At 40.2% G+C, this 27389-nt stretch overlaps 1 protein-coding gene across 9 annotated transcripts in view, besides 4 other annotated features; it reads right to left on the reverse strand.

The window, feature by feature from the left end:
- The window catches only part of TASOR (transcription activation suppressor), a 63134-nt gene extending 42881 nt beyond the window's left edge, over positions 1 to 20253 (reverse strand). For 5 of the 9 annotated variants that reach the window (NM_001365638.2, NM_001365636.2, NM_001365637.2 and 2 more), the window contains exons 1-8: positions 19664 to 20253; positions 10568 to 10713; positions 8588 to 8680; positions 7061 to 7133; positions 6688 to 6779; positions 5385 to 5546; positions 3248 to 3372; positions 529 to 560 (exon numbers count right to left, since the gene is read on the reverse strand). In NM_001365638.2, the coding sequence (NP_001352567.1) occupies positions 529 to 560; positions 3248 to 3372; positions 5385 to 5546; positions 6688 to 6779; positions 7061 to 7133; positions 8588 to 8680; positions 10568 to 10713; positions 19664 to 19994 (1054 nt within the window). In that variant the 5' untranslated portion in view covers positions 19995 to 20253. Of the gene's footprint in view, positions 1 to 528; positions 1035 to 3247; positions 3373 to 5384; positions 5547 to 6687; positions 6780 to 7060; positions 7134 to 8587; positions 8681 to 10567; positions 10714 to 19663 lie in introns of those variants that run through there. The other 4 variants (NM_001363940.1, XM_047447814.1, XM_047447815.1 and 1 more) reach the window with 4 other exon arrangements.
- Positions 19084 to 20028: an enhancer, noted in NCBI's record as "NANOG-H3K27ac-H3K4me1 hESC enhancer chr3:56716124-56717068 (GRCh37/hg19 assembly coordinates)". NCBI's record gives its function as "activates a minimal SCP1, AML or CMV promoter by ChIP-STARR-seq in naive H9 embryonic stem cells {active_cell/tissue: H9 hESC(naive)}" and the evidence as "EXISTENCE:reporter gene assay evidence [ECO:0000049][PMID:30033119]".
- Positions 19236 to 19355: an enhancer, noted in NCBI's record as "active region_19980". NCBI's record gives its function as "activates an Ori minimal core promoter by ATAC-STARR-seq in GM12878 lymphoblastoid cells {active_cell/tissue: GM12878}" and the evidence as "EXISTENCE:reporter gene assay evidence [ECO:0000049][PMID:35858748]".
- Positions 19776 to 19945: an enhancer, noted in NCBI's record as "active region_19981". NCBI's record gives its function as "activates an Ori minimal core promoter by ATAC-STARR-seq in GM12878 lymphoblastoid cells {active_cell/tissue: GM12878}" and the evidence as "EXISTENCE:reporter gene assay evidence [ECO:0000049][PMID:35858748]".
- Positions 20086 to 20385: a silencer, noted in NCBI's record as "silent region_14471". NCBI's record gives its function as "represses an Ori minimal core promoter by ATAC-STARR-seq in GM12878 lymphoblastoid cells {active_cell/tissue: GM12878}" and the evidence as "EXISTENCE:reporter gene assay evidence [ECO:0000049][PMID:35858748]".

Raw genomic sequence — 27389 nt, forward strand, 5'->3', positions numbered from 1 at the left:
TACTAAAAATACAAAAAATTAGCCGGGTGTGGTGGTGGGCGCCTGTAATCCTAGCTACTCAGGAGAAGGCTGAGGCTGGAGAATCGCTGGAACCCAGGAGGCAGAGGTTGCAGTGAGCCGAGATCACGCCACTGCACCCCAGCCTGGGCGAGAGTAAGACTCTGTCTCAGAAAAGAAAAAAAAACAAAGAAACTTTAAAATAGTTTAATGTCAATGCTACTTTCAATCTTCTCTAATTCTAAGTCCTACACCTCTGGTGAATTTAATACTTTTAAAAAGCTGAGTTATGAAACCTGTTTTATTTTTTATCTTTTTCTATTAAAGTGCTAAAACCTTTCAGTCTATTCACAGTAGCAGATTTTCAAAGGAGATCTTATGCTTGGACAACCAAATGCGCTGATGCTACATTATAACTTTTCATACTTTGCAGATTTTCATTCATTATAAAAATAATACAAAGCACTTAATCTTTTGCTATATGTACTTATTCTTTCCATTTATAAAACTAAAGAAACATAAATCTCTTACCTATGTTTCTATCTGTATTAAAGCTGTTAGATCTACAAATTTTTTAAAAGAAAAGAAAAACATTACTCATTAGTATAATCATAAAAATTAACATGTAAGATGATATAAGTGCAATTTTTAATGGCATACTACAGTTAAGTCCTTCCTCCAGGTAGGAAGAACAAAGAAATTACTCATTACAAAGTCTAGTAAATCCAAGTCTACTTAGAGAAAACAGAAGTACTTACTTCGCTCAAATTACCACATTTACCCAAATTTAAGGGAGTTGTTTTTTCCAAAAATATTAACCAAGAGAGAACAGTGTCCACCAAAGTCTCTTGTCAATTATTTTGCTGACATTAGAAGACACAGCCTCAATATATAAATATATTAATTCATCATTCAGTAAATACATACTAAGCTCTTATTTACCAGGCACAGTTCTAGGTAATAGGATTATAGAGATAAACAGAACAAAGTTCCAACCTACATAAATCTAATGAGGAAGACAGAAAACAATGATATATAACAGATCATGATGGTTTTCAGTGCTATAAAAAGAGACATAAGAGTATAGAGGTAAAAAAAAAAAACAGAGAAACCTCAATCATAAGGAAATACGTGAAGAAATGTAGAATGAATTATGCAGCTTACTGGGGAAAGTGAGAGAACAGCAAATGCAGAGGCCCTGAAGCAGGAGCATTCATGGAATATTCAAGGTACAAGGATGGATGTTCACTCAATGCTCCTTTGAAATGATATAGAGGTCAAGAGATGGAATCAAAGAGGAGGCAAAGAAATTAACAGTCATTATTCCTGGGGGCATGACCTCATAATTTTAAGTGCTGGATGTCTTTTAAAGAGTACTTATGAAAACACTGTAGTGAAAGTATGTATCACAGTGATCATAAATTTAGAGCCACAAAAAATGAAAGCCACAACTGTCTGGATACTATGTCAATTGGTACCTGTGGCTATAGATGGTTTCCAAGGATTATTCACCTACATAAAAGGACCGTAAATGGAAGAGAAGATAATTTGATCTGGAAAACTGACAAAGAGGTCAACCTCAAAAATGTACATATATGTTTCATGATATATGGTTTTAGAACAGCAGTATTTCTAAATTAATAGATATCATACATGACTTCAAATATGTATACACACCCAAAGTAAAAAATGAGCAGACATTTGACCATCTCACCTACATCCCTATAAATATACTTATTCCATTTGGCTAAAGCATTTTTAGAATCAACACATGGGGAAAAAAAATGGTAACTGCTTCCTATTTGGTCACCTTATACTAGAGCTTTTAAGAAATACTCAGTAACACAAGAACAGAAAACCAAAAAAAAGGAAAGAAATCATCAGGCCAAGTGTGGCAGCTCATGCCTATAATCCTAGTGCTCTGGAATACCAAGGCAGGAGAACTGCTTGAGGCCAGGAGTTTGAGACCAGCCTGGCCAACACAGCAAGACCCATTTCCATGAAAACTAAAAATAAACCAGACATGATGGTGCATGCCTGTAGTCCCAGCTACTTGGGAGGATCGCTTGCACACAGGGGTTTGAGGCTGCAGCAAGCTATGACTGCACCGCTTTACTCACTACAGCCTGGGCAACAGAGCAAGACTTTGTCTCTAAAGAGGAAAAAAAAAGAAACAGAGGGTCCTCAACACTGGCTGAAAATCAGAATCACCTGGAAGCTTTTAAAAACTATCAATGCCTTGACTGCCCACTAAATATTTGATTGGTTTGTGGTGAGGCATGAGCATCCTTTGTAGAAGCTCCCCATTTCCAAGGGTGCTAATACACAAAATCTCACTTTTTTGTTGTTGTTGTTGTTTAAATACAGACGAAGTCTTGCTCTGTCACCCAGGCTGTAGTGCAGTGGTGCGATCACAGCTCACTGCCAACCTCCACCGCCCAGGTTCAAGCGATTCTCTTGCTTCAGCCTCCCAAGTAGCTAGGACTACAGGCACGTACCACCACATCCAGCTAATTTTTTTGTAGTTTTAGTAGAGACACAGTTTCACCATGTTGGCCAGGCTGTTCTTGAACTCCTGACCTCAGGTGATCCACCCACCTCGTCCTCCCAAAGTGCTGGAATTACAGGCATGAGCCACTGCGCCTGGCCAAAATCTCACTTTTTAAAACTGCCACTTACTGGCCAGGTGCGGTGGCTGACGCCTGTAATCCCAGCACTTTGGGAGGTCGAGGCAGTAAGATCCCGAGGTCAGGAGATCAAGACCATCCTGGGTAACACAGTGAAACCCCGTCTCTACTAAAAATACAAAAAAATTAGCCAGGCATGGTGGTATGTGCCTGTAGTCCCAGCTACTCGGGAGGCTGAGGCAGAATGGCGTGAACCCGGGAGGCGGAGCTTGCAGTGAGCCGAGATCCTGCCAATGCACTCCAGCCTGGGGGACAGAGAGAGACTCCATCTCAAAACAAACAAAACCTGCCACTTACTCAACTACACAAACCTTCATTTCTAAGGAAGAGATTAGCGAGATGAGGTTTAAATTTTAGCTTGTATTTATTTCCACATGGTAAACTGTCTGTTCTTCACACCGACCATTTAAAAGTCATTGTAAACACTTCAGTCTCCAACCAACTTCAAGGGAAGTTAAAAAAAAAAAAATGGGAAGGAAACAAAATGGTCCTCCTAACTCAGTAGTACAGGATCTGTAGTAGAATTATCACTGCGGATGATGTCTAAAACTCCTAAGTCTTACCTTGATGAAGGTACAAACTTCGGAGTTTGTATATCATCTTTGTAAGTAAAAGACACAACTGCATATGGACAAACGTGTCTTGGTCTTCGCCTTAGCTCATCAAAGCCATACTCATAAAAATAATACTAAAAATAAGAAAATGAAAAATTAACTTCTTTAAAAAGGCAAGGTGAAACCTTATATTTAACTGCCTGATTTCTGAGAAATAGAAAACCATATATGCACTTCTGACAAAAAATGTCTTTAAGCTCTGCGTGCCAATTTAACTAAAATAATTAGTACTTTGTATTCATTTTGTGATATAAAATATTCTGCATCTAAGTGCGTAAGATCCCAGAGTATTACTAACTATTCCAAAAGTTTACTTCTGAAGAGTTGACCACCGGGAGTTTCCTAATAAAAATATTATAAACAGAGCCTAAGCTCCCAGGTCAGCTCAGAATAGCCAATCTAATACAAAAAGCAAAATACTAAGAACACAATCTCAACTAAACCAAACTATGGTTTTGCTATTTCAAAAGAAAAACACACCTGGGCTCCAATTGCAAACAAAGTAGCAAAGGGAGATACGGAAAAGAATCTGAACATAGGTGACAAAGATAGCCTTCCCTCTTCCCATTACCCATCAGTCTTTCCCCTTCACCTCTTCACCACATTCAGTATAGTACAGTTTTGTAACTTTCAGAGTAGTGATTTTCACTTTAAGAATGCCTGAGTTTATGAACAAAGTAGTACAGTTCTTCAAAGTCCATTCCCCTGGGAAACTATTGATTTCAATAATGTTGTTATTGCTCTAAAAATGGCTGGAGTTTTTAAAAAACGTAAGGCCAGTTTGCAAGTCCTTCTAGAAAAGCCAATAACTATCTTACATGTATACTTCACACCTACCAATATTGCTACTGTCCAGAGGGTAATCAAATGAGTCAGTCCCAAATGACTTTGGTGAATATAATTTTTGCTAAAAGCCCACAACAATAGTTCTTAAAATTTTATTTTACATAAATAAAGCAAAAATTAAAGAAAGAACATTTCCAGGGAAGTTAACATTACTACTTTTCACAAGCAGTCTATTTGGTTATAGACATTTTTTTTAATGTTAAAAAGAACAGGTGCCGGGTGTGGTGGCTCACAGTTGTAATCCCAACACTTTGGGAGGCTGAGGCAGACAGGATCACCTGAGGTCAGGAGTTTGAGACCAGCCTGGCCAACATGGTGAAACCCCATCTCTACTAAAAAAAATACAAAAAATTAGCTAGGTGAGGTGGCAGGTGCCTATAATCCCAGCTACTTGGGAGGCTGAGGCAGGAGAATCATTTGAACCTGGGGGGCAGAGGTTGCAGTGAGCCAAGATCACACCACCACACTCCAGACTGGACAACAGAGCGAGACTCCGTCTCAAAACAACAAAATACTAATAATTAAAAAACAAGAATAGGGAGGCCGAAGTGGGAAGATCACTTGAGCCCAGGAGTTCTAGACCAGCCTGGGCAAAACAGGGAGACCCCCATCTCTATTTAAAAAGACAAACACAAAAACAAAAAACCATTGCTTTATAGTCAAACCTCATATAAAAACTTAACACTAAAGCTCATCAAATGTTACTCTTATATAGGTGTAGTATATGTCAATTATACTTGAATAAGGCTTAAAAAATAGTTCTAGGTTTGCATCTTTAAAAATGTTAATAAAGATAGAAAATACCTATCAAATCAATAGTATAAAATGTTATGCATTAAGATTATTTCAAGGGGTTTCAACTTTACCTTGAAAGATGAGTAGTATCTTATTAGGCAAGAGATCTTTCTAGGCCAGGAAATGCCAAGGTTTCAAAATGAAATGAGGTGTGTTGAGGGCAATGATCATATAAAAACCAGGTCACAGTCTACTGGCAGGAAGAGCTAGACTAGGGAGTCTATAAATATTACCCTGTAACCTTGAAGACCCACTGCATGTTTCTGAGACATCTCAGAAAACACTGAACAAACAGCAGCAACAGACACTGGAGTCTGGAAGTGATATGCAGACACCAGAGTCTAGACTAATGTGGGGACAGAGAGAACTGAAAGGGAGACATTTTAAAGGATTTGGTAACAAACAGGTATGAGATCACAACATTACAACGGATCCTGGAACCTACCTGAGTAAGCTCATAGGCTCTGTAAGCCAAAAGTGATGTAATTCGATTGGCATTCTTTGACACGTGACATTCATGCTTTGGTGTGGGGTCCAAAGCACTCTTATTTAACATAGATTCCAAACTTTTTACACCCATGGGGTCATATATACTCTTTATTTTACCCTAAAATAGAGAAAACCTTTTAAGTGTCTACCTAAACCTAATTGTTGACTATATAACATTAATATTATGAAATACTTCTTTGAATATAGATCAACTATCCCAACCATTTTTTCCCTTTAATATCTCACAGAACAGCTGGGCGCGGTGACTCAGGCCTGTAATCCCAGCACTTTGGGAGGCCAAGGCAGGCGGATCACCTGAGGTCAGGAGTTCGAGACCAGCCTGGCCAACATGGCGAAACCGTCTCTACTAAAAATACAAAAATTAGCAGTGCATGGTGGCGCACGCTTTTAATCCCAGCTACTCAGGAAGCTATGGCAGGCAGAACTGCTTGAACCTGGGAGGCGGAGGTTGCAGTGAGCCAAGATTGTGCCACTGCACTCCAGCCTGTGTGACAGAGTGAGACTCCGTCTCCAAAAAATAAATAAAATAATATCTCATAGAACACTTTTACCAAATTTGAAGCAGTAAGAAAAAGCTAATCACTAAAAGAAAAAAAAAAAATCATTTGAACTTGTTTAATAACAAGTAAATAGAAACTCCATTCATAATACTCTTCACTAATATAAATCATATTACCAACATATTACTCTCTACATTCCTTTCTTTGGAAAGGAAAACAAACTCTTAAGTACGGTTAGCTTAGCTCAAAGATGGCAAATAGGCCAGGCGCAGTGGCTCATGCCTGTAATCCCAGCACTTTGGGAGGCTGACGCGGGTGGATCACGAAGTCAGGAGATCGAGACCATCCTGGCTAACACGGTGAAAACCCGTCTCTACTAAAAATACAAAAAATTAGCCGGGCTTGGTGGCGGGCACTTGTAGTCCCAGCTACTTGGGAGGTTGAAGCAGGAGAATGGCATGAACTCGGGAGGCGGAGCTTGCAGTGAGCCAAGATGGCGCCACTGCACTCCATCCAGCCTGGGCAACAGAGCGAGACTCCATCTCAAAAAACCAAAAAACAAAAAACAACACACACACAAAAAAAGATGGCAAATAAACCATTTTCAAAAGTATCTTTAAGTACCAAACACTAACAAGCATGAACTTTTAAACAATCTCCTAAAAACAGCATCATCTAAAAATTAAAATCCAAATCAAGTGTAGTTTTTCATACATGAAGTGTGTAAGTTTAAATTACCTTCATTATTTTAAAAATAACAACATCACCCATTGCCCCCGTGTCCAAAGGATTCGCTTGTAATAAATCAGCATACCTAGAAAGATAGACACCTAGAAAAGACGGAAAAATTAAGGAAACTGATTATATTTTTCAAAATCACTAGGACTAAAATAAGACATTTTTAAGAAGTTATCCTTCATCAATTTGAGGTGTTCAAAAATCAGAAACAAAAGATAAAACTGATCTTACATTTCAGAACCTATGACTAGTCTTTTTCTGGGAACATAATAAAGCATGAATTTAATAACAACTGCAGTGAAATTACGAGACAATGTATTTTTAGACAGCAACTTAGTAGTAGATATTTATATTTAAAAAGAAAAAAGATTACCCATGGAAGGACTGCCAAGAATTGTTATTTTGGACTGACCCACATGTAATCCTTTTTCACATATGGTTTGAACCTAAATTTAAAAAAAAATACTTCATCTTGCAGTCATAACAACATTTAAAACATGAAAAAATAATTTTATAAACTTGGTTTAAATAAAAACAAAGCTTCTTAACTATGTATCATTCTAGATCACAGAAATCTTATATATTTGCCACTTTATAAATATTAATGTAAAACTGACTTACACTTCTCAAAGTAACCATATCTAGAATCCATTTTTCTTCATTTTAATTTTTTTAGAGATAGGGTCTCCCTCTGCCCTCTAGGCTGGAGTGCAGTGGCATGACCTTGAACTCCTGGGCTCAAGTGATCCTCTCACCTCAGCCTCCCAAGTAACTAGAACTACAAGTGCTCACCACCATGCCTGGCTACTTTTCAATCATTTTTCTTCATGCCAGGTGTGACAGATACTCTTAACTCCTGCCACTCAATATATATAACCAATTCTTTTCAAAGAGAATTAGAAACAGCAAAATATTATTCCACCTAAATATCTTCGATTAAAAGGGGAAAAAACAGACCAGGCATGGTGGCTCACGCCTGTAATACCAGCACTTTGGGAGGCCAAGGCAGGCAGATCACTTGAGGTCAGGAGTTCAAGACCAGCCTGGCCAACATGGGGAAACCCCAACTCTACTAAAAACGCAAAAAAATTAGCCGGGTGCGGTGGCGTGTCCTGTAATCCCAGCTACTCGGGAGGCTGAGGCACAAGAATCACTTGTATCTGGGAGAAGGAGGTTGCAGTGAGTGAGCCGCGATCACACCATTTAACTCCAGCCTGAGCAACAGAGTGAGACTCCATCTCAAAAAAAAAAAAAAAAAAAAAAGGAAAAATGGTTCCAGGCACATAGAATCAACAATATAGAAGATAATCTCACATATAATCAACAATATAGAAGACAGTCTTCTTAATAAAGAAAAAAGGCCAGGCGCGGTGGCTCACACCTGTAATCCCAGCACTTTGGGAGGCCGAGGTGGGTGGATCATGAGGTCAGGAGTTCAAGACCAGCCTGGCCCACATGGTGATACCCCGTCTCTACTAAAAATACAAAAATTAGCCAGGTGTGGGGGGGTGTTTCTGTAACCCCATGTACTTGGGAGGCTGAGGCAGGAGAATCGCTTGAACTCAGGAGACAGAGGTCGCAGTGAGCCAAGATCACGCCACTGCACTCCAGCCTGGGTGACAGAGCAAGACTCCATCTCAGAAAAAAATAAATAAATAAACAGAAAAGTATTATTATCAAGCACATTCTAGGGGAAGAAAATAGGACTGGTCAGAGAAAAAACTGAGTACATTTGAAAAACAAATTACAAACAATAAACATTTTGCCCCATTAAATCATGTATTCCACTTATATATCAAAAAAGTCTGTAATTGTAAAGAATACTGTTGAATAATCACAAAATTAGTAACTTACAATGGAAACATCCCCAAATTGTTTTTTATAAAATGCGTTAACTCACCTGGTATCGATCAACCATCAGAAATGCATAGGATTCTGAAAGTTCCTTATCTAAACGACCATCAAACTTCAGTTCTCTTCGCTTTTCTGTAAACTAAATGAAATTAAAACTATAACAACTACTTAGCATGTGATTATGTTTTTCAAGCTACAAGTTTTATTTTTTTTTCCAAGAAATCTCACACCTACCAAAATGGAAAAATAATCTCTATCTCTCTATACTCTCTGTCCTTCAGTTTTTCCCCTATTTTAACTGGCTCTTTATATATAATATTAATATAGTCAAATAAACATCTAATGCTCACCAATCTTTAAATTTATCTTATAATTTTACCACATTCCAACTCTCCCATAGATTATAAATTCATGCTTTAATTATCTTTGTATCTTCCATTTTACTTAACATGGTACACTGCATCCAACAGGTGGTTTAATAAATCTGCTGAATGACCAACTTCTAGATTATAAACTCAATTAGGACAAGAAAAATGCTTCTTTTCTCTGTAACTGTATTCTCAATGCCAAGCACATAAGATGTGCTCCATACATATTTATAGGATGGAAGAGTGACTTTTTCTAACTAGTTGGAACTATAAGTTATCCTAAACCACTGGCTTTCCTATCTATAAAATAGATATGCATTTAAAATATAAAATAGCTAACATTTTATATTCAGGCTATTACTGCTCTTTAATAACTAATTTATCTTCAGACTAAATTTTCATATGAAATTAACAAATAATCGCTACCATACCATGAAACCACATCAATTCAAACTACTAAGATTTTAATTTTCTCTGGGATTCAGTGCCCTTTAGGGAACCTTTCAAAATTAAATCCTGGTACCACTTGGTTAACCAACTTGCAAAAATAAAAAATTCGTATTTCAGGTCCATCGGAAATCATTATGCATCAAATATTTCAAAACATCTATACATTCTGGCTTTTCCTAAATCAAAACTCAAATATTCTAATTTGTACATGAAACTTAAGTTCACTGTCTAACATGCTCAATTATTCTTCTTTGTTTGAACTTTTTCACTAAGAATATGTACTAATGATAAAATCCTAATATAGCCACCAGGCAATAATTGTGGAAAAAATGAAGCATGTCCTAAAAACAAACACACCCATATATTTGACTTCATTAATTACCTTCCAATTTAGGCATTTAATTAACATGTACAATACTCAAAGAGCAAAAAGCCCTACTAATTCACAATTTATTTATTTACTTATTTATCTGAGACAGAGTTCTTGTTCTATCACCCAGGCTTGAGTGCAGTGGCGCGATCTCAGCTCACTGCAACCTCACGGGTTCAAGCAATTCTCCTGCCTCACCCTCCCAAGAAGCTGGGATTACAGGCATGTGCCACCACGCCTAGCTAATTTTCGTAGAGACGGGTTTTGCCACGTTGGCCAGGCTGGTCTCAAACCCCTGGCCTCAAGCGACCCGTCCACCTCGGCCTCCCAAAGTGCTGGGATTACAGGCATGAGCCACCATGCTCAGCTGAATTTACAATTGAACCATTAGCTAGTAAGCTATCTCTACACTTAAGATTTTCAGTTAAAAAGTTATTTTACATAATTGCATATTAGTAACAATTTAACACAGCAGATAAATGTAATGCTACAGCAACATCTGGTGGAAAAAAGAGATGTCATTTAAAACTTGTTTTCCCAATTAGGCAGGTGCAGTGGCACATGACTGTAATCCCAGCTACTTTGGAGGCTGAGGCAGGAGAACTGCTTGAACCAGGGAGGCAGAGGCTGTAGTGAGCCGAGATCGCGCCACTGTACTCCAGCCTGGGCAACAACAGTGAAACTCCGTCTCCAAAAAAAAAAAAAAAAAAAAAAAAACTTGTTTTCCCTTTGTAATTTGGTTTTCCTAAAAATTTTAGTATTTCTAGAGAACATTTTTTTCCCAGGCTGTTAACTGGTTCTGAAAACAATCTTACAGTAAGTATAATTTAAAACATACCTCCTTTTCCAAAAGCTCATTGTGTACCAAGCAAGCACGTCTGTAGTTAAAATTTGTTACTGAGGTTGGTTCAAGGTAAGAAGAATGGAGAATATTTACAACATCTTCAAATTCTCGAGAGCCTGGAGTTAATGGCTGGAAAAGTGCTAAAATAAAAAAACAAACATTTAAAATGTTTAACATTACTCCATCTTAAATATAGCTTTTTATATTTTTGTGGGTTAATGTAACTTTAAATACCATGAAAAAAGGCATCAAGGCTATCTTACTTTGTGATACGCAAAAGAGATACTTATTAACTCATTGAAAAAAAATGTAAAACTAGTTGCCTACATACACCAGTTCCTTCAACAATGAGGATCTGGCATTACATACATAGACAAGGAAGGTGCAATTTTGCAAACCTTAGGCATGCTATATTAGGCAACCTAAATTGCTTAAAGACTCTTAAAAGAACCTGTGTTTATACTCAACTTAGCTCCTATTTTATGTTACACTGAAGTATGTCTCAGACTGTGTATTTCAGCAAACTACCTATACCATGTATGAGACCATAAAAGCATTTAAGACGTTATGTGAAGTAACAAAATATGCTGTTACTGACACACTGGTCTTTAAGTTTAAAAAAAAAAAAAAAAAAAAAAAGCTTGGTGGCTCATGCTTGTAATTCCAGCTCTTTGGGAGGCCAAGGCAGCAAGACTGCTTGAGCTCAGGAGTTCCAGAGCAGCCTGGGCAACACAGTGAGACCCTGTCTCTACAAACCATTAAAAAAAAAAAAAAATTAGCCAGGCATGGTGGTGCATGCCTGTAGTACCAGCTACTTGGGAGGCTGAGGCAGGAGGATCCTTTGAGCCCAGGAGTTCAAGGCTGCAGTGAGCCACGTTCTCCCACCGCACTCCAGTCTGGGAGTGAGAGAGAGACCCTGTCTCAAAAATAAAAATAAAAAATAAAATGCTGCACTCACGTGGCTTCTTGTATAATCCACAAAAAGTAGTAGAACATTTATTATGACAACTTAGTAAAATGAAAACATGTGGGGCTTTAGAGTCAAAGCTGGACACAAATACCAGACCTAGCATTACTGGCTTGGAGTAAAATGCAGGTAAATAAATTACTTATATAGCTCAGCTCTCTCATATGTAAAATGGCAAACTCCAGCTACTCTAATAACCACTATATGCCACATGCCACACTAGACAACACGTGGAAAAAGCTCTAAGCATAGCATCTGACGCATAGTAGGACATTGTTTGTTTTGAGATGGAGTCTCGCTCTGTCACCCAGGCTGGAGTGCAGTGACACAATCTTGGCTCACTGCAAGCTCCGCCTCCAAGGTACACACCATTCTCCTGCCTCAGCCTCCCAAGTAGCTGGGACTACAGGCACCCACCACCACACCCGGCTAATTTTTGTGTGTGTGTGTTTTTAGTAGAGACGGGGTTTCACTGTGTTAGCCAGGATGGTCTCGATCTCCTGACCTCGTGATCCACCTGCCTCGGCCTCCCAAAGTGCTGAGATTCAGGCATGAGCCACCGTGCCCAGCCAGGACATTTAAGTTTTTATCCTCCACATCCCCAACCATTCTACATCCCACTGAATTTTTTTTTTTTTTGAGATGGAGTTTCGCTCTTGTTGCCCAGGCTGAAGTGCAGTGGCACGATTTTGGTTCACTGCAACCTCCGCGCCTCCCAGGTTCAAGCGATTCTCCTGCCTCAGTCTTCCAACTAGCTGGGATTACAGATGCCTGCTACCACGCCCAGCTAATTTTTAGATTTTTAGTAGATATGGGGTTTCACCATGTTGGCCAGGCTGGTCTCGAACCCCTGACCTCAGGTAATCCACCTGCCTCGGCCTCCCAAAGTGCTGGGATTACGGGCATGAGCCACCGTGCCCGGTCCCCACTTAATTTTTAAAACATTTAAATCAACTATGCAATTAGTTCTTGAGAATTACTGGTCTAGTAACCTCAAATTTCCATCTTATGCACAAAATACTTTAATTTACTAATACACCTAAAAGTCTATACATATATATATTTCCCCAAATCAAAAAGGAACCACTTTTCACTGTAGAGAGAACTACTCATAGAAACTATGTTATTCTCTATTACCTTAATTTCTTTCAAGACACTATTTAATAAGGGTCAAGAATGTAACAGTCAAAACAGGTCACTACTGAAAACATAATGTTCCACTTGTACATACTCCTAAAGGTAACAGATGCAGCGAACCGTTATCTTTTTTATACATGATTATTAGACTTTAAAAGACATGTCAAATGACAGAGCCATTCATCCATTCATTTACCAAAGCATGTATATATTACATAAGTGTCTGTAAAAACGTAGTTTTCAATGGCACAATGTGTACAAACAAATGGTTACCACTATTTTCGAACTGTGCACGAAAAAAATAGTCAACAGTTATAGCAATACAATTAAAAAATAAACAGGAGTAAGCTCAAACAAGTACTCAAATAGAACAAGACTACTCAACACAAAGTGTCCTATAATCAAACTTGTAGCAGACGAATATGCTCGGTAACCTATTGATTGTAAGCTCCATGAGAGCAGGAACCTGCCTTGCTCATTACTCGTGTTTCCCACATCCCAGTAGCTAGACCTGTGAGTGCCAGCCCTAAATATATTAAATAGTCAAGAAAATGAGAAATTTTGTCAAGAGCTTTAAAAATGGTAACAATATATTCTACTACTAAATGACTGTGATTTAAAATTGACTCTTTCACAAATTCAACAATTCAGTAATATACGAAACACAAATGAAAGCTCAGAAAAGAGGGTAGAAGGCATATATTGTCTTCATTCAAACCTGTGTTATGGAACGTAGGACAAAAACATCTTATCTTTGTGATAATTGTCCCCAATTAAACTGTGAAAAACTTGGCAAGGAAAGCAGCATGTGGAGGTCTTTATAGGCTTTCACAACCAAAGTGGGCCAAGCATGATTTTAAAAGTTGGGTTATGATTTTAAAAGTTGGGTTTTACACGATTTTGTTTCTAAACAAAATGACTTCAGATATATAAAATGTACACAAAAAAAGGTATCACATGGCTGCCAATTTCTATGAAATGTTAGTCTACATAAAAGAAATTTTCATTAGTTAAGCTACCCAATACAATTTCTACCATTAATCTAATCGTAAGTAAAAAATTAGTCAAATCATGAATCTGCATAAAAGTTCACATCCAAATTATTCTCAAAGTACTTAACATTTCCAGTTGACTCTAAAGCAATGTCCAAGTCATGTCCAATGTACTAAAAATGACAGCTGACAGGAAAAAAATTATTGCAAATGAAAAGGAAAAAGCATTTTAGCTTTAACAATAAATATCTGTATCCTAATTATTTTGTATTGCAAATGCCTCAGTGGCTTCGTTAGGCCGGTTATAATTTCTCATTTTTTCTGGTGATAATTTCTAAGATAATAAAATTATCCTGCAACTATTTTTAAGGATTTCAAGTCAACTTGCTGCTAACAGCAGTTCAGAAAATTTATTAAGTTCATGTTCTGAATGTACATTTTCTGGTAGTCTATTTTATGTCCTCAGAGGTCATTTAACACTACATGTATCTCGATCAATGTATCCTGTCACTCCTTTTAAAGAAAATATTTAAGTCAAAAATCTCAATTATGGGTCACTATTTGAGGTAGTAATAATAAACAACCCTGTGTCTATCCAAATAGGGAAAGCATTATGTATATGAATTATCCATTTCACTCAGGGAACTCAGTATTCAATACACTGTTCTCTAGATTGACAGTTACTGTCTAACCATTAGTGGTTAAGTACCACCTTCAATACTGTACTAAGAGCTTTACATATATCATCTCAATCATCAAAACTACACTATGAAGTTCAACATGCCCGTTTCTCAATTGAAACTGAGACAAGTAGCCTTTTGAGTTGGCCCAAGGTTACAGGGTTAATGAATGAATCAAGCTGCTGGGATTCAAATTCAAGTGGTTAAGCTCCCTTTCTTGTATCCTGAAATATATGATGTGTGTGTGCATATGGGTATTAGACATACAATGTCCAATCATGTCAAGAGCTGGAAAAATGACTGTTTCCTCACTTTATAGACTAGAAATCATATACAACACTTAGACACAGGAAGTTAATATAAAAGAACAAAGAATTTCGTTCTAATACTGCTCTTTCTACCTTCCTATCTTCTCTCAAATTTCTTAATTTTTTCTGATTTTAATTTTCCTCTAGAGACAACAGGGCCAAGAGTCGTAACACCCTTTGTTTTATAAAGGTTAACAGCAGTAGCAATAGAAGTTCTTTCACACATTAAGAAATGTGTAATTTTGCTTATTTGATCGATTTCCATTAAATGCCTGTCAGAAGAACAGCTAAGTTGATTACTGATCACACAAGGTTTCCCTACTTACAAATTATAGATGTATTTTACGAGACTGAAGAGCAGATTTACAAGGGCACTTAGAGATTTATAATTCAAACGAGGAAACTGATAGTATCATAGAATTTCAACTGGAATTCAAATTTCCTGACTCTTAGCCATACTATCATCAAATATTTTTTATTACTAGTATCATACAAAACACACTTATGATTTTTTTTTTTTTTTTTTTTTTGAGATGGAGTTCTGCACTGTTGCCCGGGCTGGAGTGCAGTGGCGCGATCTTGGCTCACTGCAACTTCCACCTCCTGGGTTCAAGCTATTCTCCTGCCTCAGCCTCCCGAGCAGCTGGGATTTCAGGCACCCACCACCAGGCCCAGCTAATTTTTTGTATTTTTAATAGAGTCAGGGTTTCACCACGTTGGCCAGGCTGGTCTCAAACTCCTGACCTCGTGATTCGCCCACCTCGGCCTCTCAAAGTGCTGGGATTACAGACATGATCCACCATGCCCAGCCCACACTCAAGATTTGAAGGTTGTATTTATAAAGGCAGTGGGCATTGATATATAATTTAGGTCATCAAACAGCTTTGTTCCTTAATCAAAAGAACATCTTCATCAATTAGTTTTACCAATTTGTTTGGTGTTAAGGCAGATCTTTTTGTATTATGTATACATGTATCACAAAAAATATTATCATATATACATAAATTTAAAAAAGCTAAACTTAAAAGACATATCATTCCTATCAAAACATACAAATGGGGCTGGGCGTGGCGGCTCATGCCTGTAATCCCAGCACTTTGGGAGGCCAAGGAGGGCGGATCACTTCAGGTCAGGAGTTCCAGACCAGCCTGGCCAACATGGCAAAATCCCACCTCTAAGGAGAATACAAAAATTAGCTGGGCGTGGTGGCACATGCCTGTAATCCGAACTACTGGGGGAGGCTAAGGAAGGAGAATCCTTTGAACCTAGGATGCAGAGGCTGCAGTCAGCCGGGATCGCAACACTGCATCCCAGCCTGGGCAACAGAGGCTCTGACTCCAAAAAAAAAAAAAAAAAAGACATACAAATGGGTCATACGAAGTACAAATAAACAATTGTCTGATTTAAAGTAACTAATACATAGAAGATGACGAAATAATTAGCAAGAAGAGGCTGAGGATCTGAAATTTTCTGAATTCACAGCTGACGCCTATTAATGATTATAATACAACCACTCTCCATCCATTTGTTCTTCACAGTAAGATCTTTTTTTAAAATCACTTTTCTTCATTCTAAAAAAAATTACCACAGACAATACTTTAGGAGTGGGTACTTCATCTCTACATCAACAAGGTTGAACATAGTGTACAATTAGAAATGAATATGCTGGCAGGAATCAAGAGTACAAATACGAAACAAAGTTTTTTGGACTGAGGATAGCTCAAAGTAAATTTTACCTTGATTACTTTGCTATTATGTATGGAGAGAGCTATTGTTCTCAGAACCCACTCATCCATATACAACTAATGAAATACCATGGAAATTTCCTTAAGAATGAGACTTGGCTCCAATGACTTCAAAAAGGCAAGTGAAAATTTTGTGGGGGAAGATGGAGGTTAGGAGAATTAGCCATTACTTCTGGACTAAACCAGTATGGAAATTTAGTGCATGAGCGCAATTAATTTTTGAGACTCCCTTGGACCCTACAAAAACATTAACCAATAAACGTTTTCCAGAAAGTGAATCATCGCTACTCCATTTCCCAAGAACTTTGGAGGGAAAAATTACATCAAATGCAATTACCAATTTTAATTTACTTTTTATGACTCACTAGATTTAAAGAAGGCAATAGTGAAACATCTACCAACAAAATGCAATTCTACAATTTGGTTAAATTCTATAATTTGGTTAAATGTAAGAATCATGCCTCAGCCAATAAATAACATACATCAAAAACAGTAAAATGTATACCTTTCCAGTCAAAGACGCACTTAGTATGTCAGTACCAACCAAATGTTGATAGTAAACATAATTTCTGAATGTCAAAATTCCCCAAGGATGAAAACATACTAAATATTTCTATATTTAATGAAGGGGGGGAACAGTTTTTGTTACTAACAGGTCAGGTCAAAAGCAGCTAACTTAAACCCTTAGATTATTCAAACTGGGTAGCAAGATTTTTCTTTTTTATAGTAGTAAAAGTACTCTACAACTACCTTCAAATTCCATCTCCACAACTTAGCTGTGTGACCTGAAGCAAGTTACCTAACTTCTCAGTACTTTAGTCTCCTCATCTGTAAAATGGGAATAGTACCTACCACAAAACATTGTTGAGATTTAGTCAATGTATGTAAATTGCTTAGAACAATGCCCACAACTTATTAGGCACTATACAAGTGTTTGCCAATATTATTACTCAATTACAATGGCAGTTATTTTGGATGTCACACTACTGGGAAGACCAAAAAAAGAACTTTCTGAGTCAAGTTGTATTTGCATAGCAGTGACCTTTAAGGTATTAAAATATTTAAGTCCTAATCTTAAATTTCACTGGAAAAGCACAGTCACAAGAAAAGGTCTACCATATTAAAATATGAATGCAACAGAACCTGCACTGTTTTTGAATTTTTTTAATAAAGTTGAATTTATGTATTAAATTCTATCAGCAACCACTAACTTCTCTCAGCTTGAACAAGATAAAATTCATGGTGGTAAAATAGCTGCTTATTTAATTTTTTAAAGTTCTATTTAAATCGCTATTTTACTATTTGAACAGCTGGTGTTCAGGGTATAAATAATTACACAAGTTAAAAATTGCTCATTTTCACTAATCATGACAAAGTCCACTGCGATATATTTTCCTCCCAACTTTTGTCTGTAAGTAAAAATGGAAAATACAAGTTTTACCCAAGAGGTACAAGACTATGGGGGACAACAGCTAGATTTATATTTCCTAATCCCTCAATTATTTCCACTTTTAGTGTGTTCAGCTGAAGTCTATTTTACAACAATCTCTGGATTTTATCTAATTTTAAAAAAACACACAAACACAGTGCCTTTCCAGTTCCTACTGCCTTCCCACATTTCAAACTAAATTTTGAAGAGTTTCTAGGCCAATCTTCTGGTCCTAACAAACAGTAAAAAAAAAAAAAAAAAAATCACGGTTTGTCCATATTCTTAGGCACTTAAACCTTAAAAATAGATTTCAAACGGCTTTTATCAAGCTGTGAAGAAAAAAAATAGTTCCACCTCCTACCTCATAACCAGAGCCCATTTGAATGTACTTCCTACCTATTCTCTACCAATTGATTACACTGGGAACTTTTCTCATACAGACTATAATCATACATCTCAAATTTTAACTAAATACACGAAAAGAACTGAGTTTTGACCTTTAAAAGTATCTTTCTGAACCCTAAAATTACATTAACTCAAAAGATATTTCTAGAAACATTCCTCATGCTAATTTCCAAAGGTTAACTTCATCTTTGTCAACATGGTTTCTCACACCAAGTATTTTCTTGGCTTTGCCATCCAAACAAATGAACTTTATTTGTATTTTTCCAATAAAAGGCTCAAACAATTCCAGTAGTGCAAATGGAACTGGTGATGCTTATGGAAAGTCAGTATAATGCTACAGCCAAGACTCTGTACCAGATGGATGGAAAAGATACGGGAAAAAAACAAATCCTATTTTTTTCCAAAGTAAATAATGAAAACCTAACCATACAGTAGGGCAAAAAGGAAGTTGTCTAAATTCAGAATATCCAAAATTTACTGGATAGTTAAAAAATAATACCCCAATAACAAAAAACGATACTAATTTTGACCTCCATTAGGAATTCTGACTCCATATTAACAATATGGCATTAAGATTTTTTAAAAGTACAAGTAATTAATGTAACTGTTTCCATATGGGTTCCAAAAACTAAGACTGGACTTTTTTTTAACCTGAAGTTCTACCATCTAGAAGACCAAGTTGGTGACTCTTGAGAATAAGGTAACTTCTCATTAGTTTTTTTCCATTGGGAAATTACTGCTCCAAGAACCTACCTTTCCATTCTTTTCAAATATAAGAAAAACAATACTAAGTTCGAATTTAAAGAGAGAAAAACCTATTTAATCTAACGCTTCAAAAACAAGGGGGAAAAATCTACATGGAAATGAAGTGTGATGGAAAACAGCAGTGTGCATGGATCACATCTACTAATAGAGATTTCTAAATAAGGGAGGACGCTGACATCAAGCACATTTCAAGTAGACACACAGAACTGAAGAATTTCCACGGGGAGAAGCACTCATGGTCCTCAGAACATTGGCAATGGCCTTGGAGAAAGCCCCAGAATCCATGGCCACGGGCTATTTCCATAGCGAGACTTCTCAGAAGCATCCTTAGGAGGACACAACGGCTTCTCTGCTTTCAGGGGCTGGGAGGGAGGGGCGCCGAGCACCATCTTTCCTCTCTGGGAGCTGCAGCCTTACGGACAAGCTTCAAACCTGAGCTACTTCCAACTTCCGCGGGGAGGGGCAGCAGGGGAGCGTGGTTCCACCGCTTTCTCTCGCACCAAACGCGGCAGCTGGGCGGCCGTGGCGGTGAGGGGAGAGGCGGCCGGCGCTGCATGCGTGTTTACGTATCTCGGATGGGTGTGGGAAGAGGAGATAGAAAGATTCTAATGAAAAGATGGAGGGGAGAGAGAGAGGGGGTTGAGAAGAAGGGGAGGCACCACCTTTCTTTTCTCTGCTCTTCCTGGGGATCTGAAAACTCCTCCTAACAGGCCTTTCGGGCTCTTCGGGGCCTCTGGGCAGGGCGGCCGCGCCCGCCTCAGAGGAGTCCTGAGGCTGCTCGTGGCTGAGGCTCTGGGCGGCCTCGGCCCCCGCGTTCTCCTCACGCCCAGCGCCGCCGCTGGGCTCAGCGATGTTGAGGCCGCCGCCGCCGCCATTTTGTTGGGAGGACTCAAGCTCCGGAAGCGCCTGCTTCATCTCGTCGTCTCCGCCGCCGCCACTTTCCCAACTCGCATCCGTCGGCTGACAGGCCTCCGTCTCCACAGCAGTCGCCATCGCGCCGGCCTAAGGAGCTCTGGGAAGCTTCTGCCCACAAGGTCGACGGGTGTGGGGGGAAGGGGCGGCGGGCCAGTCTCGCCGCCGAGCTGCTCTCAGCCCACCCACCCCCTTCCCCCCGTGGCCTCAGGCTGCGCTCCCGACCTGGCAGCCTCTTGGGGGGCCCTGTAGCGGGCACCCCAAATGCGCTGCCCGGTCCTCGGAGCCGCTCCTCCCTCGGGCAGTTCTTCTGCCTTCCCCCGCCACTCAACGTGCGCGCGTCGGGGCCGGGAGGGGGCGGGGCCACCGCGGGCCACTCCACCAATGGGAGCGCGGCACCCGCCTGCGCGAGTGCGGAAATACCGCGCCGGGGGGCGGAGTTTCGGGGCGCCCGAGCCCGCCAAAAGGGGCGACCGCAACGCCCCGCGAGGACCTCGACGCCGCAGCCGTGGCCTGCGGAATGCGTGGGCCCCTGGCGATCTTCGGGTTCCCGGGGATTCCCCCGCCGCGCTGCAGGCGAGGGAGACTAGCTTGGCCTCTTCTCCGGAGCGCAGGCGTCGCCCATTTGTGGGCAAAACCCTTCCTCTGCGCACGAGTTATCTCGGCCCAAACGGGCTTCAGAGCAGTGGATGCGGGACGATCTCGGTTTTATGAACTATTTGCATGTGTACAAAAACCTGGAGAGGAGATAAAAGAATGGGCTAGGCGGTAATAGCCTAAAAGCCTCGACAGCCTTTGCGACCTGCTATTCTCACCGGATCTTGTATCTTTATGATAGATTACTCGCACCCGGCCTTCTCTTTTATCTCAGAGAGTGTGACCCAGTGTCACAGCTCCAGCAAGCACTTTCACCTGAGATCCTCTGATGGGACTTAACAACCTAGTGTTAACAGGATTTGGTTCTGGGGAGTTTGAGGGGAGGAGGCTGTTAACTTTTCCCATTTTTTTCCTTTAGTCGCACCCCCCCCCACCACACGCCATGGAGACCGCACCTGGCCTCCATTTGTTCCCTTTCTATGGTTACTTCTGTTAAAAATCTGGCCACTGATAAACCTCTAACTCCACTGTTTCTTCCACTGGAACGTTCATCAACGTTTTCCTATAGTAAATGTATATTAAAGAAAAAATAAACTTGCGGTCACATTAAAAAATACACAGCAGGTCGTCGCTCTCCCATAAAGGGAACAACTTCATAGTTAAGAGCCCTTTACATAGTGGTTTCTACCTTATCAGTATAAACTATCACGGGTTATCGTGAGTACAGCCAATATTTACTGAGTGCTTTCTACGTGCTAGACACGGACTGGACAAGTGATTTACGTGCATTGTCTCCATTTAATCCTCACAGCAACAGACATGAGGTAGATACTAGTTTGCAGAATTTGAAAGAAGCGTTGCAAGACACTGGACAAATTATGGTAACCGAAGATTTGAAACCGGGTCTATTTAACTCTCCGAGTAAGTACTTAAGCACTGCACTGACTGCTTCTCTAAGACCTAATTTTCACAGCAGCTGTGCACTTTTATTCATTTTATGGACGAAGCAACAGAGGGCTGACATTTTGTTGAGGGTCGCCAAGCAGCAGGATCAGGTTTGAGACCCAGATCTCTAGTCTCAAACTGTCTCCCAAGGAGTTTACAGACCAAATTATCATCATAATAAAGCCCCAGGCTTAAAGAGCATTCCTAAGGGCAACACGAAAGTTGGATTCTTTTGTCCTCTAATAAACATTACCACTGTTTAACAGCTGATATTAAAAAAAAATCATGAATTGCCCAACCTATTCGAAACAATTTAGTAAATCATACGAAAGAGAGTGTAAATCCATTATTAGTAAATAGTTTAAAAACACATTTTAGGCCAGGCGCAGTGGCTCACGCCCATAATCCCAGCATTTTGGGAGGCCGAGGCGGGCAGATCACCTGAGGTCAGGGGTTGGAGACCAGTCTGGCCAACATGGTGAAACCCCATCTCTACTAAAAATACAAAAATTAGCCGGGCATGGTAGCACATGCCTGTAATCCCAGCTACTCAGGAGGCTGAGGCTTGAGAATTGCTTGAACCCGGGAGGCAGAGGTTGCACTGACCTGAGATGGCACCATTGCACTCCACCCTGGGCTGAGACTTTGTCTCAAAACACACACACACATTTTAAAATATGTTTAAATGAAAAACTGAGGTCTAGGTTGAGGGAAAAATACATTATTTTAAGAAAAAGTTTTTTAGTTGGGGGAAGGGCTTTACTTGATTTAAAAGAGAGTACAGAAGATCAGAAACTCACATTGCAGTCCCAAATTGGTAACTTTCTTTTTTGTTGATTCATTGAAGGCATCCCTAAAAGCTCATTTTTATCAAATTCAAAAATAAGAATTGTAGCCAGGTGTGGCTCACGTCAAAATCCTACTTCGGGAGGTGGAGGCAAGAGAATCACTTGAGCCCAGGAGTTCAAGCCCAGACTGGGCAATAAGTGAGACCCTGTCTCTATTAAAAACAAACAAACAAAAACAACTAATTGCATGCTAATGCCACCACTTATCCACTCAAGAAAAGGCAACTCTACTTGTAAGCTCGTAGGCTATGCATAAAGCAATCACAGGTTGTTAGTAAAGAGTACCTAAAACTAAGGCTAGACAGAACCATTAGCCCTCCACAGAGGTTGAATCTTAAATTTTGTGAAGATAAAAATTGCTTCCCATTCCAAATCAACATTTATTAAAAAAAAAAAAAACTTTAATGAAATGTAGCTGGGTGTGGTGGCTGACACCTATAATCCAGCACTTTGGGAGCCAAGGCTGGAGGATCACTTGAGCCTAGGAGTTCAAGACCAGCCTTCACCATATGGTGAGACTCTGTCTCTATTTAAAAAAAATAAATAAATAATCCTAGCACTTTGGGAGGCCGAGGCAGGTGGACTTGAGGTCAGGGGTTCGAGAATAGCCTGGCCAACATGGTGAAACCCTGTCTCTACTAAAAATACAAAAATCAGCTGGGCATGGGCCAGGCGTGGTGGCTCACACCTGTAATCCCAGCATTTTGGGAGGCCGAGGCAGTTGGATCACGAGGTCAGGAGATCAAGACCATTCTGGCTAACACGGTGAAACCCTGTCTCTACTAAAAATACAAAAAATTAGCTGGGCGTGGTGGCGGGCGCTTGTAGTCCCAGCTACTCAGGAGGCTGAGGCAGGAGAATAGCGTGAACCCGGGAAGCGGAGCTTGCAGTGAGCTGAGATCATACCACTGCACTCCAGCCTGGGCAACAGCTCCGTCTCAAAAAAAAAAAAAATTAGCTGGGCATGGTGGTGGGTGCCTGTAATCCCAGCTACTTGGGAGGCTGAGGCAGGAGAAACTCTTGAACCCAGGAGGCAGAGGTTGCATTGAGTGAAGATTGCACCACTGCACTCCAGCCTGGACGACAGAGAGAGACTTCATCTCAAAAATAATCATAATAAAAGAAAAAAAATTAGTGAAATCAGATTTTCTATATTATGCCTTACAAGGTATAAAAAAATTAGGAGTCTCTAAAATATAATTTTAAATACATATTCATTTATTGTAGATAGCAAAAAAATTTCAGTTTAGCTGGAGAACATTACTAATGTTCACTATTAGAAATATTTTTTATGTATTGGGGACTAAGCACTGCTACCTACTAAGGATGTCATTTTGAAGCAAATGAACAGGGTTACCTTCTTCAAATTTGCTGTTCAGTGGGGAATGCGTCTGAAACTAGGATGTATGGTGATGGCTAAGCTGAGACCTAAAGGTAAAGTAAGGAGTCAGAAACATGAGGGGCAGAAAAGGGGTATAAATTTGCTGAATCCCACCTATTTCAGGAAAACTAACACAGTGACATACAGAAGATACCCATCTAGGTATTCATATATGTTTATGTATATAGATATCTTTGGGGGGGTGAGTACCACAGAGGCACATAGTTCTGAAGCACGAGCTACCAAAAGTTTATGCTTTTAAGTATAAAGCCTGTAGTTGTCTCCTGCTATCAGTAATGGGCAAAGCAGCAGCACAAGGAATATTAGAGAACAGTATAAAATAGTGTAAAATTAAATTTCCAGGGACCACAATTGCCTTTTAAAATTTGGAAACATAAAAATAATCAATTTCAACTCCACAATTTAAAAATAGGAAAAGAGAGGCTGGGCACGGTGCCTCACGCCTGTAGGCCGTGAGCACTTTAGGAGGCCAAGGCAGGTGGATCACTTGTGGTTAGGAATTCGAGATCAGCCTAGCCAACATGGTAAAACCCTGTCTCTACTAAAAATACAAAAGTTAAGGCCGGGTGCAGTGGCTCACGCTTGTAATCCCAGCATTTTGGGAGGCTGAGGCGGGCAGATCATGAGGTCAGGAGTTCGAGACCAGCCTGGCCAACACAGTGAAACCCCGTCTCTACTAAAAATACAAAAATTAGCTGATCATGGGGGCAGGCGCCTGTAATCCGAACTACTCGGGAGGCTGAGGCAGGAGAATCGCTTGAACCTGGGAGGCGGAGGTTGCAGTGAGCGGAGATCGTGCCACTGCACTCCAGCCTGGGCAACAGAGCTAGACTCCGTCTCAAAAAAAAAAAAAAAATTAACTTGGCGTGGTGGCACATGCCTATTATCCCAGGTACTCAGGAGGCTAAGGGAGGAGAATCACTTGAACCTGGGAGGCGGAGGTTGCAGTGAGCCGAGATTGTGCCATGGCACTCCAGCCTGGGTGACAGAGTGAGACTCTGTCTCAAAAAAGTAAAAAAATAAAAATAGGAAAAGACAATGACTCAAGATCATATAGCAAGCTAGTAACATTTATTGAGTACTTTCTATGTGTCAAGACACTGTTCTTTTTTTTTTTTTTTTTTTTTTGAGATGGAGTTTCGCTCTTGTTGCCCAGGCTGGAGTGCAATGGCATGATCTCTGCTCACCACAAGCTTTGCCTCCCGGGTTCAAGCAATCCTCCTGCCTCATCCTCCCAAGTAGCTGGGATTACAAGCACCCATCACCATGCCCAGCTAATTTTTGTATTTTTAGTAGAGACGGCGTTTCTCCATGTTGGTCAGGCTGGTCTCAAACTCCCGACCTCAGGTGATCTGCCTGCCTTGGCCTCCCAAAGTGCTGGGATTACAGGTGTAAGCCACTGCGCCCAGCCCAGACACTGTTCTAAGAGTGTTACAGGTGTAGTCTCATCAATGCCCAGAGAAGGTACTGATGTTATTTCCATTTACAGATGAAAAAAACTGAGGCAGAGCAGTTAATTAACTTAATGTCATTTAGAGTGTAAGTTGCAAAACCAAGATTCTAACACAGGCACTGTGCCTCCAAAGCCCCATGCCGTTAATAACCACAATATATTAAACTTCTCTTGAAACAAAATACAAAACTCAGTGCATTTTCCACTATGTCATTTCATCTCCCTTCCTCAAACAGTACTTTAAAAGACAGGATATAAATAGCATAACTCAGCAATAACTATCAATATTACTGATGCATAACCTTTTGACCTAGCAGTTCTACTTCTAGAAATGTATATGGTACAGATGTACTCATTCACATTCTAAATGTGTATTCAAGGATATTCTTTAGTGTTGTTAATAATAGCAAAGGATTGGAAATAAGTATCTATCAAAAGGTATGTCCAGTGGAATACAGCCATAAAAAGGAATGAGGCACTGATGCATGCTACAACATGAATGAACCTTGAAAACATTATGCTAAGTAAAAGAAGCCAGACACAAAAGCGATATATTATAGATTCTGTTCATATGGAAATGAAAAATAGGAAATTCCACAGAAACAGAAAAATGATTAGTGGTTACCAGGGGCTAGAGAGAAGGGGGAATGAGGACTGACTGCTAATGAGTACAGGGTTTCTTTTTGGGGTGATGAAAATATTCTGGAATTAGTGGTGGTAATTCCACAACTTTGTGGATATATTTAAAATCATTGAACTATGTACTGTATTTATTTATTTATTTATTTATTTATTTGAGATGAGTCTCACTCTGTCACCCAGACTGGAATGCAGTGGTGCCATCTTGGCTCACTGCAACCTCTGCCTCCTGGGTTCAAGTGATTCTCCTGCCTCAGCTTCACGAGTAGCTGGGATTACAGGCACCTGCCATCACACCCAGCTAATTTTTGCATTTTTAGTAGAGATGAGGTTTCGCCATGTTGGCCAGGCTAGTCTTGAACTCCTGACCTCACGTGATCCACCCACCTCGGCCTCCCCAAGTGCTGGGATTACATGCGTGAACCACCACATCCGGCTGAACTATATACTTTAAAAAGATGAATTTTATAATATGTGAATTATATCTCAAGGTGGTGGGGAGGACTAGGCATTCCTTGAGGTCAGAGACTCCAAGCAGCAGAAACTCTCTCCTGTTGCTGGGTTTGAACAAACAAGCTGCCATGAGTTTTATAGCTGCCAACAACTTGAAGGAATTTGGGAGCGAACCCTTTTGTAGTTGAGTCTCCAGGTGAGAATGCAGCCCAGCTGCATGATTCTAGCCTTGTGAGACTCTGAGCACAGACCCCAGCTAAGCCATGCCTGGACTTCTGACCTGCAGAAACTGTGAGCTAATACAGTATTGTTCTAAGCCACCAGGTTTGTGTTAGTTGTTATGCAGTAATAGAAAACTAATACAGAGGTCACAATATGCCTGGCATTTTCTTTTTCTTTCTTTCTTTTTTTTTCTTTTTTTTTTTTTTTTTTTTGAGAGGGGTCTTGCTCTGTCACCCAGGCTGGAGTGCAATGACACAATCTCGGCTCACTACAACCTCCACCTCCCAGGTTCAAGCAATTCTTCTGCCTTGGGCTCCCGAGTAGGTGGGATTACAGGCACACGCCACCAGGCCCAGCTAATTTTTGTATTTTTAGTAGAGACGGGGTTTCACCATGATGGCCAGGCTGGTCTTGAACTCCTGACATCAGGTGATCTGCCTGCCTCGGCCTCCCAAAGTGCTGGGATTACAGGCGTGCACCACTGCGCCCAGCCATGCCTGGCATTTTCTAAGTGCTTGCCTGGCATTTTCTAAGTGCTGTGTGTGTGTGTGTGTGTGTGTGTGTGTGTGTGTGTGTGTGTTTTTGAGACGGAATCTCGCTCTGTCGCCCAGGCTGGAGTGCAGCAGCGCGATCTCACCTCACTGCAACCTCTTGCCTCCCAGGCTCAAGCGATTCTGCTGCCTGCCTCAACCTCCCAAGTAGCTGGGACTACAGGCGCGATGCCATCACACCCGGCTATTTTTTTGTGTTTTTAGTAGAGATGGGGTTTCACCATGTTAGCCAGGATGGTCTCGATCTCCTGACCTCGTGATCTGCCTACCTCGGCCTCCCAAAGTGCTGGGATTACAGGTGTGAGTCACCGCGCCCGGCCAGTGCTTTGTATATTTTAACTCATTTGATTTTCACAACAACGCTAT

This window comes from Homo sapiens, chromosome 3 (assembly GCF_000001405.40).
Source record: "Homo sapiens chromosome 3, GRCh38.p14 Primary Assembly".
NCBI lineage: Eukaryota > Metazoa > Chordata > Mammalia > Primates > Hominidae > Homo > Homo sapiens.